At 35.7% G+C, this 19,770-nt stretch overlaps 1 protein-coding gene across 1 annotated transcript in view; it reads left to right on the top strand.

Moving 5' to 3' along the window:
• Positions 1-7,958, top strand: part of SULT1B1 (sulfotransferase family 1B member 1) — a 39,454-nt gene extending 31,496 nt beyond the window's left edge. The window contains exon 8 of the mRNA NM_014465.4: positions 1,925-7,958. Coding sequence (NP_055280.2) covers positions 1,925-2,037 — 113 coding nt within the window. The 3' untranslated portion in view covers positions 2,038-7,958. The remainder of the gene's footprint in view (positions 1-1,924) is intronic.
• The last annotated feature ends 11,812 nt before the right edge of the window (positions 7,959-19,770 follow it).

Raw genomic sequence — 19,770 nt, 5'->3', positions numbered from 1 at the left:
TAGATACGTGAATATAATTTCCCAGAAATTTTATCTCAAATCATATGAAAATTGATGCCATTTCATGACATCTAATTATGATGTAGACATAAAGAAGACAAGCTCAATATCTGGATTCTATGGCTTCTCCAACCTCAATAGAAAAAAAGCACTTGCTGTTCTAATATTGAAGGTAGTCTTTATATCCCCTCTCTAGGGGGTTAAGAACATACTTTTGTGGTCAGATTGATCTGAGGTTTATCCAGGCTACACCATTCCCTGAATACATTAATTAACCTGCCAAAGCTCTGATTACATCACTGGCAAAATAGATAATATAATAACACCTGTGGCAAAAGTTTCTGGGGAGGATTATGGTAAATTATATGTAAGCATTTAGGATATTTTCTCACAATAAATAATGCATACAGAAGTAAAAAGCATTATTAGTCTAAATAGTTTGACCTTCCTTCCTTCCTTCCATTCTTCCGTTCTTCCTTCCTTCCTTCCCTGATGTATCCAGTAAACATTTAGAGTACTCATTCGTTAATTTGCATATAGAAAAACTTCTTCATGAATAACTATATACAGCACATATTCTTTAAAAGATTCAAAGGTAAATGATACATATCTTTGACTCAAGAAGCTCACAATGTAGTGCAAGGGGCATGTACATGAATGAATGCTGAAAGAAGTTAAGTATGAACAAATGTGCCAGGCACACTGAATCTTGAAAGATGCCATATTAGATAAATCAATGTTATTATTATGAGGGTGGGATAGATTATGTCCAATGTTTGGTCGTATGTCCTAAATTATAACAAATAGAAAAACCTGGCCTTTGGCCAGCATTTATCAAAAGTTCTTTTTTGAAGTAAATGTGTTTGCGTATATTATAAAATTTATATGCAGATCAGATCACTGGAATGATTTATATATAACTTTTAATTGCTTAAATCTGTGTTCTCCTCTGTTTTTAATGACATCCTTACGGATGCATTAGCCCCAGTATGTTTATGTTGAACCCTTATTCAACCCTATGTTGAATTCCAGAGCTATTGACATCTGGTGAACATAGAACAAAATGTAACAACTAGGGAAAAAAGCATATCTATAGGAATGTTTTTCTTTTAAAAGACTTGGAAGTTTTATCAAACCACTGTGGATTAATATAGCTTGTAATTTAATATGATGTATTACTATTTCATAAAATAGTGAGATGTTTTTCTCTAAAAATATTGGCAGTACATTAAAAGTTTATTCATTTTCCAAACACATATTTATAAATACCCAAGTATGAGAGACTAAATTTAAATTTTTATCCTCAAAGATTTACTTTAAAAAACATGGTTCCAGGATGTTATATATTTGATATTAATGTTATTATTCCCACCTAAATTACAAATAAAGAACAAGCCTAGTGAATTTAGGAAAAACAACTGTCATCTCCATATCATAGCATCCTTGTTTATAAATTCTAGGAAATGATACTTATCAACTTTTTATTTCACAGTTTTGCTGTGCTGATGACTAATTTTTTGTCTAGTTTCCAAAAATTACTTTGTGAAATAAAATATGCCTGACTATTGATCCAAGTGCTCAGTGATAATCTCATGACCTACGACCATTAGAAACAGTAAAATTATCACTCTTGGGAAACTATTGTAAAGCCCAGGAATTTAAACAAGAAAATTAGTCTTTCTCAGAATGCCTCTTCAAATGTCAGACTCTATTTAATTATAAACCACCTTTCCAGATGTAAAAAATTATTCAAATTTTAAAAGCCTGAAAAATTTAAAGGTTAATACAATTTAAAGACTGTTTGAATTCATTCAAATAAAAGGAAGGTCTTTCTTTAGGCCTTCTAATCTTTTCCTTTGGTATATACTGATTTCTTCTTATGGAAATATTTTATTCTTTCCTATGTTTTTTTATTTACCTTTAGGGACGGCTGGTGACTGGAAGAATTACTTCACCGTGGCCCAAAATGAGAAATTTGATGCTATTTATGAGACAGAAATGTCCAAAACTGCACTTCAATTCCGCACAGAGATTTAAAGTGTCTAAATCACACATCTGAAGAAATAAGAGATTGTCTGTAGTTGATTGAAACGAGGGCAGTTATGAATTGATTTGGGCAATCAAATGAATTTATAAAGGAGAATAATATGCTTTTAATATGTTGATTCTTTTCAATGTTATTAATCAGATCCCAGTTTTGTTCCTTTGATTCTGAGTTTCCAAATTCTCTAAGGCTAAAGTTCATTGTTAACTTTTTGTAACAAAGGAACAATGTAACCACAGGCTCTTCCTGCCTTTTTCTACACTAGTACTGATAAGAAAGAAGGGATTTATTTTACTTAATCTCCCATATATTATGATTTAGAATTAAGTTCCCCTCCCTAGTACCATGGTCCAAGAAATGCTGTTTTCATAATGAGACTATATTTCCTAACTCTGCCCCAATTTCCCTTTGCCGAAAATTTGACCCAGGACACTGTGTTCCACTGCTGTCTACCGAGTTTCAAGTTGTTCTCTGAGTCATAGCTCATCTTCCTGCAGTGCCTCTATTTGGATAACAAAGTTCATGTCCCCGATCATGTAGTTCAGATTTTGGAAATCTTTTTTCTATATCATACCTAATGTCTAAGTCTCCGAAAGGCAAACGCCTACAATAGTCTCTGTAGGATTGGTTACCTGGGAACTGGAGCTCTGTTCTGAAAAGCAGCCCTGAGGGCTGTGACCTACTTCTTATGGGGAGTCCTCTTTTTCCCAACAGACCCGTTTGAACTTCAGAGAAATCACCTACTGCTGTGTTCTGGTCACCATTTGGGAACTTCAGTTACTTAATCTTATATTTGGATAGATTTGGATACCTTAATAGCACCTTTAATATCCTAGACATGATCATAACCTCTGCAAAATATTTCCCAATCTGGTGCCCAAGGAAGACTCTCTAGGCTGAATCTCCACTCTGCCCTCTTGACCCAATGTTCCTTCTACTTATTATTACATGCTTATATCTATTTGTGTGGTCTCTGATCTATGTTTTCTTGGAACATTTATATATATATATATATATATATATATATATATATATATATATATATATGTACATTTTATTATTATACTTTAAGTTCCAGGTTACATGTGCACAATGTGCAGGTTTGTTATATATGCATACATGTGCCATGTTGGTGTGCTGCATCCATTAACTCGTCATTTACATTAGGTATACCTCCTAATGCTATCCTTCCCCCCTCCCTCCACCCCACAACAGGCCCCAGTGTGTGATGTTACCTTTCCTGTGTCCAAGTGTTCTCATCGTTCAATTCCCACCAATGACTAAGAACATGAGGTGTTTGGTTTTTTTGTTCTTGCAATAGTTTGCTGAAAAGTATGGTTTCCAGCTTTATCCATGTCCCTACAAAGGACATGAACTCATCATTTTTTATGGCTGCACAGTATTCTATGGTGTATATGTGCCACATTTTCTTAATCCAGTCTATCATTGATGGACATTTGGGTTGGTTCCAAGTCTTTGCTATTGTGAATAGTGCCGCAATAAATATACGTGTGCATGTGTCTTTATAGCAGCATGATTTATAATCCTTTGGGTATATACCCAGTAATGGGATGGCTGGGTCAAATGGTATTTCTAGTTCTAGATCTCTGAGGAATTGCCACACTGTCTTCCACAATGGTTGAACTAGTTTACACTCCCACCAAAAGTGTAAAAGTGTTCCTATTTCTCCACATCCTTTCCAGCACCTGTTGTTTCCTGACTTTTTAATGATTGCCATTCTAACTGGTGTGAGATGGTATCTCATTGTGGTTTTGATTTGCATTTCCCTGATGGCCAGTGATGATGAGCATTTTTTCATGTGTCTGTTGGCTGCATAAATGTCTTCTTTTGAGAAGTATCTGTTCATATTCTTTGCACACTTGTTGATGGGGTTGTTTTTTTTTTCTTGTAAATTTGTTTGAGTTCTTTGTAGATTCTGGATATTAGCCCTTTGTCAGATGAGTAGATTGCAAAAATTTTCTCCCATTCTGTAGGTTGCCTGTTCACGCTGATGGTAGTTTCTTTTGCTGTGCAGAAGCTCTTTAGTTTAATTAGATCCCATTTGTCAATTTTGGCTTTTGTTGCCATTGCTTTTGGTGTTTTAGACATGAAGTCCTTGCCCATGCCTATGTCCTGAATGATATTGCCTAGGTTTTCTTCTAGGGTTTTTATGGTTTTAGGTCTTACATTTAAGTCTTTAATCCATCTTGAATTAATTTTTGTATAAGGTGTAAGGAAGGGATCCAGGTTCTGCTTTCTACATATGGCTAGCCAGTTTTCCCAGCACCATTTATTAAATAGGGAATCCTTTCCCCATTGCTTGTTTTCGTCAGGTTTGTCAAAGATCAGATAATTGTAGATGTGTAGTATTATTTCTGAGGGCTCTGTTCTGTTCCATTGGTCTATATCTCTGTTTTGGTCCAGTACCATGCTGTTTTGGTTACTGTAGCCTTGTAGTATAGTTTGAAGTCAGGTAGTATGATGCTTCCAGCTTTGCTCTTTTGGCTTAGGATTGACTTGGCAATGCGGGCTCTTTTTTGGTTTCTTATGAACTTTAAAGTAGTTTTTTCCAATTCTGTGAAGAAAGTCATTGGTAGCTTAATGGGGATGGCATTGAATCTATAAATGACCTTGGGCAGTATGGCCATTTTCATGATATTGATTCTTCCTATCCATGAGCATGGAATGTTCTTCTATTTGTTTGTATCCTCTTTTATTTCATTGAGCAGTGGTTTGTAGTTCTCCTTGAAGTGATCCTTCACATCCCTTGTAAGTTGGATTCCTAGGTATTTTATTCTCTTTGAAGCAATTGTGAATGGGAGTTCACTCCTGATTTGGCTCTCTGTCTGTTATTGGTGTATAAGAATGCTTGTGATTTTTGTACATTGATTTTGTATCCTGAGACTTTGCTGAAGTTGCTTATCAGCTTAAGGAGATTTTGGGCTGAGACAATGGGGTTTTCTACATATACAATCATGTCATCTGCAAACAGGGACAATTTGACTTCCTCTTCTCCTAATTGAATACCCTTTATTTCTTTCTCCTGCCTGATTGCCCTGGCCAGAACTTCCAACACTATGTTGAATAGGAGTGGTGAGAGACGGCATCCCTGTCTTGTGCCAGTTTTCAAAGGGAATGCTTCCAGGTTTTGCCCATGCAGTATGATATTGGCTGGTGGTTTGTCATAGAGGGCTCTCCTTATTTTGAGATACATTCCATCAATACCTAATTTATTGAGAGTTTTTAGCATGAAGGCTGTTGAATTTTGTCAAAGGCCTTTTCTGCATCTATTGAGATAATCATGTGGTTTTTGTCTTTGGTTCTGTTTATATGCTGGATTACATTTATTGATTTGCATATGTTGAACCAGCCTTGAATCCCAGGGATGAAGCCCACTTGATCATGGTGGATAAGCTTTTTGATGTGCTGCTGGATTCGGTTTGCCAGTATTTTATTGAGGATTTTTGCATCAATGTTCATCAGGGTTATTGGTCTAAAATTCTCTTTTTTTGTTGTGTCTCTGCCAGGCTTTGGTATCAGGATGATGCTGGCCTCATAAAATGAGTTAGGGAGGATTCCCTCCTTTTCTGTTCATTGGAATAGTTTCAGAAGGAATGGTACCAGCTCCTCCTTGGACCTCTGGTAGAATTCAGCTGTGAATCTATCTGGTCCTGGACTTCTTTTGGTTGGTAAGCTATTAATTATTGCCTCTATTTCAGAGCATGTTATTTTTCTATTCAGAGATTCAACTTCTTCCTGGTTTATTCTTGGGAGGGTGTATGTGTCGAGGAATTTATCCATTTCTTCTAGATTTTCTAGTTTATTTGCGTAGAGGTGTTTTTAGTATTCTCTGACGGTAGTTTGTATTTCTGTGGGATCATCGGTGGTGATATCCCCTTTATCTTTTTTTATTGCATCTATTTGATTCTTCTCTCTTTTCTTCTTTATTAGTCTTGCTGGTGGTCTATCAATTTTGTTGATCTTTTCGAAAAACCAGCTCCTGAATTCACTGATTTTTTGAAGGGGTTTTTGTGTCTTTGTCTCCTTCAGTTATGCTCTGATCTTAACTCCAGCTTGGCATTAGAAGTAGTTGTTTATATCCCCATGTGCAGCAAAGTCTTTTTCCTGAGATCATATCACATGTGCCAAGTTATATGCCAAGCCATGGTTCTCAAGCTGAAGGTACAGTACCCTGGGCCCTTACTTGTTCTGAAAGGGGTGGGGGTGGTGGTTTTGGACATACTGTTAGACTTTCTGAGCCACAACTGAGGTAGCTATGGCTTATCGTATTTTGACTTCACAGGTGAATCTCCGCTGTCAGCCAGGAATAGCCAGGAATAGCTAAAATAGCTCCTTAAGCTGTAACATTTCTCTTTTCCAACCCCAGCAAAGGATTGGTCTAGTGGTAACAACAAACCTCATAGAAGTAGTACACCTATTATTCTGGAGATACTTGCTTCTATAGATTTATTACAATATGTTTTATAAAGTATTTTAGAGTATATAATTTGTGTTTATGTTCCACAGAAACATATTTTATAGGAGTTAATCTTGACTATCTAAAGGTATTGTGAACTAGTTCCAGCTTTCTCCAATACCCTTGTCCACGAGAAGTAAACTAAATCATGTATCTATTTCCTCTATTATCTTTATTAAATAATAAGTTAATGTGGCCTGAATATATACGGATTTCTGATACTATGGTCTATTACTGAGGGAAAAAACACCACTAAACTATCCTCTAATCTGTGTAATAGATTAGCTACACTTTCTTCACTAGCAAGATAAAATAATTTCCACATTTTCTAGTTTTACTTTGTAGAAATAACTCTCTGTAATTGGACTGTATTCAACGAAAACTTAGTAAGTTGTAATTATGCCTCAGGTATGTTTCTATGCACTGAGTGAAGAGTGGAGATAAAAATAGAATTTAGATTTTCCTTTACTTTTTAAATAGGTTGTTGCCTCTTATATATTTATTCTATGATGCAAATGTCACTATCCTAATTCCTCAGTTTATGTTTAACAGCACACAGTGGCACTTCTATGATTCAAATACATTTGATACCCTTTGAAATCAATCAGAATACTGCAAAATTAATTTTTCTAAAACAATGCTTTTATCGTTATTTCTCCTGTTGAATCATCAGTACAATTTCCAAATGAAAACACTTAAAATAATCTCATATTACAATCTTTCTCTAACAGAACCATGATGTAAGGACAGTGATAACAAATATCTGACAATGATATGATTATTTCCTCATCCATGGAAATTTTCCTTAATAAACTAAAGGGCTATTTTCTAAAAAGCCAAAGCATTGCTTACAAGAACTTTTCATCATGACATGGATAGACACTCAGATTCATACATTCAAAGGGAAGTGTCATGTATTCCCTTTCAATCCACCCTATTCTATTGTGTTATCTTCCTAAATTATTTTCTATCTACATTCTTCATTCTCTTTCCCATTGACCCTATGTTCTGTGTGATAAAAATTGCGTCATTGGAGGCTTTTGAAGGTTAAGTATTATGCCCCATTTCACCATTAATCAACATACAACCCTTCTCCATATTTTGTAATTCCTTTCATATACAGAAAAAAAGATACTATAATTTCTTCAAAATGCTTGATATTAATGATATATGGGAAAACAATTATTTTGTGCAGCAATCTTCAGATAACTGGGAAAGGCCGGGGAAAAAGAGAGATACTGGTGGTTATCAATGACCCATGTATAAATTGTTTTTATTATGTAAGCTGTCTTCACAAATGTCTTCTTATGTATGATCATTAGAACTGTTTTATATATATATGTAAAATTTCCACATTATCGAGACATTACTTTCAGCAGTGAAGTAATCCTTTTTTAACTGCCACTTAATGAATTCAATAAAATATAATTTATTGTATTTTGCTATAATAAACTATTGATGACTATTTGATGACAATTTGCTTGCCACTATGACATTTAACTGGCTTATATTTTGAAATCTCATTTCTGTTTTCTGTGGCTATTTTAATTTTCCACCCTCAAAATATAGATGAGTATCTTTGTAGTAGGAAAATCATAAAAATTAACAGCTTCTTCCCTAGTTAATAACTCTGCATATTGTTTTTGTGCGTGGAGCAGGGGCTAAATCAGGAGGGGATTTGAGGCAACATTGAAGACCAAGCAGTATAGAATAAAAGATAAGAGCACAAAATCTGTAATTATAAAGCCTTTTTAGAATTAGGTCTTTGCCACTTTCTAACCCTGAAAACTTGAGCAAGTCACAACTTTTCTGCGCTCAATTCCTTATCTGTACAATGTAGACAATGAGTATTTATTGCAAAGATGAAATAATACATAAAACAATTAAAACAGTGCCTAGCATACTTCAGTGTGCTCATTTAATATCAGCTGCCATGAAGGTAATCATTGTGAAAATCTTGAAATTTTATTTATCTAAATGGGATTGAGGCATCGGATTTCTTGTTCCACACTGCTAGCTGGCTTCAAAATGTAGAAATATGTCGCAAATTACTGGGAGGCAAGGAGGTTTCTGGCTTCATTACTGTTACCATTGTTCTTTTGTTGTTTGCTACCAAGTTAAATTTTTCACGTGTGTCAAGTACTCCTGCTTAAGGCATTATTCTCGAGTACTTAATATTTTCAACGTGTGTCAATGATCATCATTCAATAGAAAAGCACAGCAAGGCTATAAAGATTGGAATAACACTGCAAATGATACATAGGTTGTAATAATCCAGCTATTGCAAAAATAAAGATAAGTTAGATACTGTGACATAGGTGGATTGAAATTTCTCAGTGGGAATTTGATTACATGGGGAAGCCTATTTTTTAAATTTTAAATTTTTATTTATGTATTTTTATAGAGCAGGTTCTTGCCATGTCGTCCAGGCTGCTCTCAAACTCATGGCCTCAAGTGATCCTCCAGTCTCGGCCTCCCAAAGCACTGGGATTATAGGCATGAGCCACCATGCCCAGCCATAAAGTCCACACTGTCAAACATAGCATTTGGGTGTCATGTAAATTCACATATATATTCTCTCAGTAATGCTTTGTAATCATTTTGGTAGCAATTGGGAAATGCCGTGTCTCAGCATTTTTTAGAAAATGCCAGTGGACACATAGAAAATGATTTTCAAATGTGCTTGAAAATCTTAAATGCAAATTTTCTTGGCCCTATTAAAATCATAAATTTATTGGTCAGCAATTGGGAAATGGCTAAACACAAATGGGCTCTATCTCTTACTTTATCATCTTACCTAAGGCTGATCACAGCCTTTTCTCATTAGTCTACAAGAAGAAATAATTTTCTTAATAATTATAGAATATGATAATAGAATTGGATATATGCAATTGTGTAACTTAATTCAACATTATTATGATATGTAGAATGATATATAATTAGTATATTTTATATTTTACCATTTTAATTGATAAGTTATTAGATATGAGACAATACTGTAGAAGTATCCATAAATTCCATTTTAAAGCAAGGAAACTGAGACTCAGAACTGGGATTCAAATATAAGTCTGTTTGTCTTCAAAATGTCATTCAACATTACATGATACTTCATAGAATTATATGTAAATAATCACCTTCGGATATTAGATTACCTCTCAAACATGTCATGGAAATAATTAAGTAATGGTGCCTAAACTGACAATGTGAAATTTACAAGTTCTATTCTCTCTTAGAGACCTCATATGGCAAGGACACTGCCTACGAACTTATGAAAATTAGATTTATGAGTGCTTTTTCTCTATAAACTATGTCATAATTGGTGCTTGTTTATAGTCTTAAATAATGATGGCAATACCATAGTTCAAACTCATCTAGGTTAATTTGAGTTTCAAGTGTTGATTTTAAAACTTACTCATTAGAAAGGAATGTCTCTGGTAAAATGCATAGAGTCCCAACAAATGATTAATAAGATAATGCAGCCTATTCATAAGAAGGGCACTAAATGTACCCTGTCCTGTTCTCTTCTATTGAGAGAAAGAGAACAAGATGTCACAAATCTTATGAAAAAGCTTCTCCTGTAACTTCGAATATGGGAAAAAAGGAGAGGGAACAAACTATTTTCTCACAACTTGCATCCTCTATATCCCCTCCCTCCCTTCCTCTAGAACTATTGGCAAGAGTATCAACATTGTTGTGCATAGTAGAAGTTTTTGTAAAAGAAAGATTCTTGTAGCTCTCTCTAGAGATTCTGATTAAGAAAGCCTGGAGTGGGACTCTAATTTACACATTCTATAAAACACCAGAGGTGACTCAATAGCCATATTATATATTGCAATTTCCAAGTGACGAAGATGAACTACTCATTTTGCAAGTAATAGATAGATAGACAGATTTAACAGCTACAAAGTAGCTCCTTTTGTACGAATGAAATTCATATTTAGAAATGCAGAAAAATAAAATAATGAAAACTTAAAACTTAAAGCCAATGGCTAAATATAATTTGAAGGGAAAGAGGAAGTTAAGTGAATCACATAACTTAAAACTGGCCTTTAGCCAAATATGCAGTGTGTTTTAAAATAAATGGGTAACTTTCCTAGTACAGTTTGCTTAGTGTGTAAACTATTCATTCGCTTAAACAATGAGTGTAAATTGGGTTTCATTGAGAACATTTTTTTCTTATTCCCTGGGTAATTATTTCTTCCATTTTTTGAAAGCTAAGTTTCTGAATAGATTAGTACATGATAAAACTATACTCTCTCATTGTTTTGCCTGAGTTGTTCTTACTGTCGTATTTTGGGGTCTTGAGCTTGAACCACACTGGGCCTCTGCAACAAAGCCAAAATGCAAGGGAAGCAAACCAGAAAGGGATAGCAACATACAATAAAAATAAATAGATATAAAGTCTATTCAAAGCAGCCTAGTGGTCAAGGCACATTTTAGGGGTACCAAAATTTCATCTCAATATCTGAATTTTTCATGGTCATTGAAGTTTTACCATTTTTTTAAGTATAGCATACAGATAGAAAACTCCAAAAATCATAGATATACAGAGAAACCTTCCAAATAAACACACCTGTGTAACCAGATTTCATGTCTCTGGTTAATTTGGTTAATGTTTAAGAATTAGAACATTACCAGCATACTGGAGCCTCACTCTTCCAGTCAATGTTACTCCCAATGGAAACCACAAGTCTGATTTCTAACACCATGGATTACTTTTGCCTTTTATTTTGAAAGTTATATTAATGGAATGGTATAGATGGACTCTGTGGACTTTGTGACTTTTTTCACTCAACATTGTATTTTACTGATTTATCCATGTTGTTGCATGTAGTTGTAGTTTTTATTTTTATTATTATATAGCATTCCATTATGAGACTATACCAATGTTTATTTGCTTTTGATAAGCATTTCAAAATTTTCAGTTTGGTTTACTACAAATAGTACTACAGTGAACATGTTATTTACATTTTTGGTATATATATTTTATGTGCATTTTCCTTGAGTGTAGCCTAGGTATTGATTTACTAAATAACGTGATGTGCATACGTTTAAGATATACCACCATATACTTTTCCAACCTGGTTATATTGATTTACAATTACACCAGCTGTACAAAAGCATTCCAGTCCCAGATTTTATACTCATCACCTATTATTTTATGTAATTTTCATTTTAGCCATCTTGGTAAATGTTTATTATGTTCTGGTTATAATTGATATTTCACTGCTGATAAATTTTGAGTAAGTTTTCACATTAATTCATCATATTGATTATTCATTATACCTCTTTTGTGAAGTACCCATTCAACTCTTTTGTCTATTTTTTATGTGTTGCCCTATTTTTTCACTGATTTGAAGAATATGAATATCTATGAGTGTGCATGTGCATATGTTTGCTTACACATATGTACATATTTTTATGTAGGTGTGTATATATATACACCTTAAGATTTTTTGTATCTTTGCTCTTTTCAAAATCTTTCTTATTTTCATATTGTCTATAGAAATATTAGTGATATCCCTATTTCATCCTCAATATTGATGAGTATTCTCTCTCTCTTTTTTAATATGTCTTGCCATGTGGTCGTCAATTTTCTTACTCTTAAGAAACACAAAACTGTTGGCTTTTTTGATATTACATCTGCTATTTCATCTGCTTATTCTATGACTTGAGTTTTTAGTCACTTAACAGTGTCTTTTGGTATTATTAGTCTTAATATTGTTCAATTTATAATTTTTTCTGCAGAGTAAGCATTTTGTATCCCACATAAGAAATATTTGTTTGCAACGAGGTAATAAAGATGCTCTTTTTTTCTACAGGATTTATTGTTTGTCTTTCACATGTAAATCTAAAATATATCTGGAATGAATATTTATATGGTAGGACTCCAGTGGTTTTCCCCACCTAGAGATATCCAGTTGACTTAGCACAATTTACTAAAAAGGCCATTCATTCCTCACTTTACTGCAGTCACATTTGTATTACATCAGTTGTCCTTATAAATGTGGGTCTGTATCTGGACTATTTTATTCCACTGGTCTTTTATAAATGTTTACATGAACACCATATTGCTTTAATTAATATAGCTTAACAATGTAACTGAATGACTGATAGTAGAACTCAATTTCATTTTTCCTCAAGAATGCCTGGTCAAGTATTGGCCTTTTGTTTTTCCATATACATTTTAGAAGAATCTTGACAATTTCCCTTAAAAAAAAACCTGCTATGATCTGTATTAGGATTGCATTTAATCTATTGATCAATTAGTCAAGTAATTACATGATTACAAAAAACTATGCTTTTATTTGGGAATTATTTGCTTACCTCTAATAATTTGTTATTTCAATGTAGAAGTCGTATACTTTTGTTAGATTCAGTTCTCCACATTTGACCTATCTTGATCATTTTAAATGATATTTTCTTTAAAGGCCATTTTATAATTTTTGTTCCTGGTATGTAGAAATGCATTTGATTTTTAGTTTAACCTTTTATCCAGAGACCTTATTAATTTCACTTGTTAATTTTAATAGTCTACAGATTCTATCAAGTCTTTTTACATACAATATAATGTCAGTTATCAATGACAGTTTATAATTCTTCCTTTAAAAACTTTGTATTTTTTTTAGTTCTTCTTGTGCTGCCTAGCACATTTAATAAAATATTTAAAAAATAGTGAATTGAGCACTTAGGCTTTTGTTTTCAGTCTCAGAAGTAAAGCTTTTAATATTTTATCACTAATTCTATTTTTTGTATTTCTTAAATTGAAATTCTTCAATTTGTTAAGAAAATTTTCTCTAATTATGTGTTGCTAGAATTGTATCCTTATGCATATATTGAGATTATTTAATTCTCTTTTATAATTTTTAATAGAGGTGAATGACTATTTTTTGTAAAGTAACGTAAAATCAATATTGCATTTTTGAAATGAACCCACCTGATTGTTGTGGATTATCCTGTTTATCTACTCCTACATTCAATTTACAAATCTTTGAGATATTTTTATTTACATTCATGAGGCTAATACATAATATTTTTTCTTATATTTCCCATGTTAGATTTTATATCAATTTATGGGAGTCTCATAAAGAGAATTGGAAAGTGTTTACTCTACTCCTAGCCTATGAAATGTGTGAATAAGATTGATGATATTTCTCTTTTAAGCTTTGTGAAGCCATTAGTGACTGGGATTTTCTTTGTGGAAAAGTTCTTAATAATACTTTCAGCTCTTTAATGTATACAAAAATATTGTAATTTTCTATTTCTCTGTCAGTTTTGACAACTTGTGCTTTTTGAGTCATTTTTCCATTTCTTTCAAAATTTTAATTTATTCTTTATTATTTTATCTTTATATTTTCTATGGAAATATTAGTGATGTCCACTTTTTCATCCCTAATATTGATGATTGTTCTCTCTCCATTTTTTAATGTTTTGCCAGGTAGTTGTCAATATTATTACTCTTAAAAAATACCAAACTTACTTGGCTTTTTTGATATTACATCTAGGATTTCATTAAATTCTGCCTTTATATTTTTCTTAATTGAGGCTTGTTTTGCGTTGTTTTCAAGTTTCTAGAGATAGAAGCTTTGATCATTAATTTTCAGCTTTTAAAGTTGAAACGACCAGGTGCGGTGGCTCACACCTGTAATCCCAACACTTTGGGAGGCCGAGGCGGTCAGATCACCTGAGGTCAGGAGTTTGAGAGTAACCTGGCCAACATGGTGAAACCCCGTCTCTACTAAAAATGCAAAAATTAGCTAGGCATAGTGGTGGGTGCCTGTAATCTCAGCTACTTGGGAGGCTGAGGCAGGAACATTGCTTGAACCCGGGAGGCGGAGGTTTCAGTGAGCCAGGATCGTGCCACTGCGCTCCAGCTTGGGTGACAGAGCAAGACTCCATCTCGGAAAAAAAAAAAAAAAGTTAATACGTAAGAATTGTACATGTGTATGGAGTACATGTGATATTTTGATATATGCATATAATGTGTAATGATCAAATCAGGGTAATTGAGATTTCCATCACCTCATTTATTATTCGTGTTTAGAACATTCTAAATTTTCTCTTCCAGCCATTTAAAAATATACGGTAAAATATTCATAACCACAGTCACCCTCCTGTGCTGAACACCAGAACATATTTCTCCTAATTTCAAGATTTAAATTTTCTAATATGTGCATATCAATATAATTCACTTGAAACATTTTTTTATCTTCACTCTTCAACTTCTTTGTCTTTGTTTTTTTTGAGACAGGGTGTCGCTCTGTCACCCAGGCTGGAGTGCAGTGGCTCAGTCATGGCTCATTGCGCCTGGAACTCCTGGGCTCAAGTGATCTTTTCACCTCAGCCAACCGTGTAGCTGGGACTATAGATGTGTATCACCATGCTCAGCTAATTTTTACATTTTTTGTAGTGCACAGATCTTGATATGTTACCCAGACCGGTCTCAAACTCCTGGCCTCAAGTGATTCTCTCTCCTCAGCCTCTCAAAGTGCAGAGCCACTGTGGCTTGCCACACTACAACTTTCAAAGTACCAGGTTGTATTAGCATTAAATTCAAACATTTATTTTATTTCCTGTCTTATATTATCCTATTTAAAGGTGAGAATACTGAAGCTCAGTGGGTTAAGTAACTTTCACAAAATTAGAGCTGATACCTCAGAACCAGCATCAAATTCAGCTCCACTGTTTATAGGGACAGTGCTGTTTATACAGGGGCTTTCTGCATGCCGGAAAGTGAGATATTCTGTTGCTGTGACATTGCAATAAGAGCAGGCAAGCAGGCATGCAGTGAGCATCAGCTATGGTAATCATTACACAAGTTATTACACAACTGACACTAGCTACATGATTATTGCATAATGATGACCACAGCTGATGCTCACTGCCAACAGCTGATGCTCACTGCATGATTATCAAATCATCACTTTGTACCCCTTGAATATATACAATTTTCATTTGTTAATCAATTGTATTTTTACATAGAATCAGAGAGCAGGATTCCAGGCTTCGGCTCCTGGGCATCTCACAGCCCTTTCTGTCTCATGGAACCCATCCACCATTGCCTGCTCACATTGCTTTGGAGGTTATTTTCTGAAATCATTGTCTGGGCTTTTGTAAGGGCATTTTCCCATCCCTTTCACCTATGGAAATGAGTGTCCCAGAGGTCAGGTGAAGAGAAATGAAGTAGAGAAATATCCAGGCTCTTTTAACAGGTTGATCACATAAATGCACAAGCAAATAGCTTGAGTAAGAAGGCTCATCCGCCTAACAACACATGACCCAAGGAGGTAGGGACGTGTATTAGTCCATTTTCACACTGCTATAAAGATACTACATGAGACTGGGTAGTTTATAAATAAAAGAGGTTTAATTGACTCACAGTTTCACATGGGTGGGAAGACCTCAGGAAACTTACAATCTTGATGGAAGGTGAAGGAAAAGCAAGCACCTTCTTCACAAGGGAGCAGGGAAAGAGAGCGAGCAAGCAAGCAGGGAAAATGCCAGATGCTTATCACACAACCAGATCTCCTGAGAACTCACTCACTATCAAGACAACAGCATGGGGAAAATCAGACCCATGAGACAATCACTTCCCACCAGGTACCCCCCTCTGCACGTGAGGATTACAATTCGAGATGAGGTTTGGGTGGGGACATTGAGACAAACCATATCAGGGAGGTTGAGGAGTAGGATTTGACCACTCTGAGATGAGGCACAGGTGTATGGTAAATGCACCTGATAGCAATAATTAAGCATATTCTGAGAATGATCCTGCATGGCACATGCACCTGAATGTGTATTATGATCTAGAGCTAGAGAATTTTGGAGTAGCCATCCAGAGATTTGTTTCTAGCCTATGAGGAACTTCTGAGACCCTGGCTTCTCCTATGGAACATGGGACATACAGGAGAGTGAGTTCTGGGTTGCATAAACGTTGTAAGGTGGAAATTATTAGGGAAAGGGTGCTACATGAAAATGCTATACAAACTGCATTCCTTTTGCAAGTGGTTTCAGTCTTCTGCCCAACCCGCCACCACTGGGCTATGTGGTTGGTTCTCCTGTCCAGCCCACTAATACTAGATTTTTAGGCCTGTATGTAAGTCCCCAATAAAACCCAATGTGTCATTTGCTGACTCTGGTCTCTTCTTTGGCCTCTTGAACCTGGTGCCATCCTTACTGGAGTAGACAGGAGTTAGGTGCAACAACAGCTCATCCTGAAACTCTTGGCTAGAAATCTTTCCTCAATAAACTCATCTCTGATGACCTACCTGATTCCATCAGTTCCTTCATTCATTTGAGTTAGATATTGCACTCCATCTAGGTTTTCTTTTTTTAAAAAAAATAATTATTTTATTTCAGTTGTGAGGTAGTGGAGCTGGGATTTGACACCAGGTAGTGTAATACCTGAGCATAGTCTTAACCGCTGTGCTCTCCTTCCTTCTCCTAGACCTCAGTCTCCTCTCGTGAATTCATCTGGGCACATTAGCTGCTTTAGCACCTCTCCTTCCCTGGAATACTGGGAATTCCTCACTCTTCCCTTAACAAATTGGTGTTTCTCTCTACTTTGAAAACTTTATGTACAAAATACATAAAAAGTGTCTTTTACTTACTTTGGATTTCTAATATAATGGCTAGCTTTTGAAAATGAGTTGAATGAGTTGTTGATTATTATCTGCAATGAAAAGGCAAGCTAGAATTTCTTCACTGAAATTTGGCTTTGGAAGTATTCTATTTGGCCAGTAGAATTTTCAGTGTTGTTGTTGGTACTAAGGCATTTTTTTGTCCTTAACTTTTTTAAGAATTTGAATATCTTTACCTGGGGGCATATAATCTCCAGTTCAACATAAGCACCACTATCCTCTCAGTCTCTCTCACATTTATGTGACTTGCCTAGGACATTAAAAGCATTTTAGTTTTTGGCTAGTCCAGAAAAATCTCATCTAGTTCCTTCCCTAAGGTATATAATCCCCTTCAAAGCAATATTTTCTGTCTGCACAATTGGTTTTAGATTTAATCTTTTATTTGAAGCTGAAGTATATTATTAAACCAGCCACATTTTTCCTGTTGTTATCTCACACACAGAGGAACACACACAAACATAAAATAAGTGACAAATAGAAAAACAGCAAGTTGCAAAAGTAAAATGAGCTTAGTTATTTAATTAAAATAAAAAGAGGTTGATTTGGTTTGGCTGTGTTCCCACCCAAATCTCATCTTGAATTGTAACCCCCATAATTCCCACATGTCCTGGGAGGGACCAGGTGGGAGGTAATTGAATCATGAGTGCCAGTCTTTCCCATGTTGTTCTCATGCTATTGAATAAGTCTCAAGATATCTGATAGTTTTAAAAAGGGAAGTTTTCCTGTATAAGCCCACTTGCCTGTTGCCATGTAAGATGTGCCTTTGCTCCTCCTTTACCTTCCACCATGATTTTGAGGCCTCCTCAGCCATGCAGAACTGTGAGTCCATTAAACTTCTTTCCTTTATAAATTACCCAGTTTCAATTATGTCTTTATTAGCAGCATGAAAAGAGATTAATACAGTAAATTGGTGCCAGGTAGTGGGGTGCTGCTGAAATGATACCTGAAAATGTGACTCTGGAACTGGGTAACAGGCAGAGGTTGGAACAGCTTGGAGGGCTCAGAAGAAGAAAGGAAGACGTGAGAAAGCTTGGAACTTCCTAGAGACTTGTTGAATAGCTTTGACTAAAATGCTGATAGTGATATGGACAATAAAATCCGGGCTGAGGTGAACTCAGATGGAGATGAGGAACTTGTTGGAAACTGGAGCAAAGGTGACTTGCTATGTTTTAGCCAAGAGACTGGTGGATTTTTGCCCCTGCCTAAAGATTTGTGGAACTTTGGACTTGAGAGAGATAGTTTAAAGGCATCTGGCTGAAGAAATTTCTAAGCAGCAAAGCATTCAAGAGGTGATTTGGGTATAGTTAAAGGCATTCAGTTTTATGTATTCACATATATATGGTTTGGAATTGGAACTTCTTTTTAAAAGGGAAGCAGAGAATAAACTTTCAGAAAATTTTCTGCCTGACAATGCAATAGAAAAGAAAAATCAATTTTCTGAGGAAAAATTCAAGCCAGCTGCAGAAATTTGCATAAGTAACTAGGAGCTAAGTGTTAATCATCAAGAAAATGGGGACAATGTCTCCGGGACATGTCAGAGGTCTTCATGGCAGGCTCTCCCATCACAAGTCTGGAGGCCTAGGAGGAAAAAATGGTTTCCTGGGCCAGGCCCAGGGCCTTGCTGCTTTGTGCAGTCTCAGGACTTGGTGTCTTGCGTCCTAGCCATGGCTAACAGGGGCCAACATAGAGCACAGTTCTTTGCTTCAGAGTGCAAGCCCCAAGCCTTGGCAGCTTACAGGTGGTGTTGGGTCTGTGGGTGCACACAAGTCAATAATTGAGGTTTGGGAACTTCCACCTAGATATCAGAAGGTGTATGGAAATGCCTGAATGTCCATGCAGATGTGTGCTGCAGGGGCAGAGCCCTCATGGAGAACTTCTGCTAGGGCAGTGTGGAAGAAAAATGTGGGTTGTGAACCCCCACACAGAGCCCTACTTGGGGGCACTGCCTACTGGAGCTGTGAAAAAAGGGCCACTGTCTTCCAGACCCTAGAATGGTATATCCACCAACAGCTTACACTGTACACCAGGAGAAGTCACAGACACTCAATGCCAGCCTATGAAAGCAGCCAGGAGGGGGGCTGTACCCTGCAAAGCCACAGGGACAAGACCATGGGAACCCACCTCTTGCATCTACGTGATCTGAATATGAGACATAGAGTCAAAGGAGATAATTTTGGAGCTTTAAGACGTGACTGCCCCTGGATTTCAGACCTGCATAGAGTGTCTTGTCCCTTCATTTTGACCAATTTATCCCATTTGGAATGAGTGTATTTACCCAATGCCTGTACTCCCATTGTATCTAGGAAGTAACTAACTTGCTTTTGACTTTACAGGCTTATAAGCAAAAGGGACTTGCCTTGTCTCAGATGAAACTTTAGATTTGGACTTTGAGTTAGTGCTGAAATGAGTTAAGACTTTGGGAAACTGTTGGGAAGGCATTATTGGTTTTGAAATGTGAGCACATGAGAGTTGGATGGGGCCAGGGGCCAAATGATATGGTTTGGCTGTCTCCCCACCCAAATCTCATCTTGACTTGTAGCTCCCATAATTCCCACATGTTGTAGGAGGGACCCAGTGTGAGGTAATTGAATAATGGGGGTGGGTCTTTG

The sequence above is a fragment of the Homo sapiens genome, chromosome 4 (assembly GCF_000001405.40).
Source record: "Homo sapiens chromosome 4, GRCh38.p14 Primary Assembly".
Taxonomy (NCBI): Eukaryota; Metazoa; Chordata; class Mammalia; order Primates; family Hominidae; genus Homo; species Homo sapiens.
Note: the sequence above shows the minus strand (reverse complement) of the source record. Positions and strands in the feature narration are given on the sequence as shown.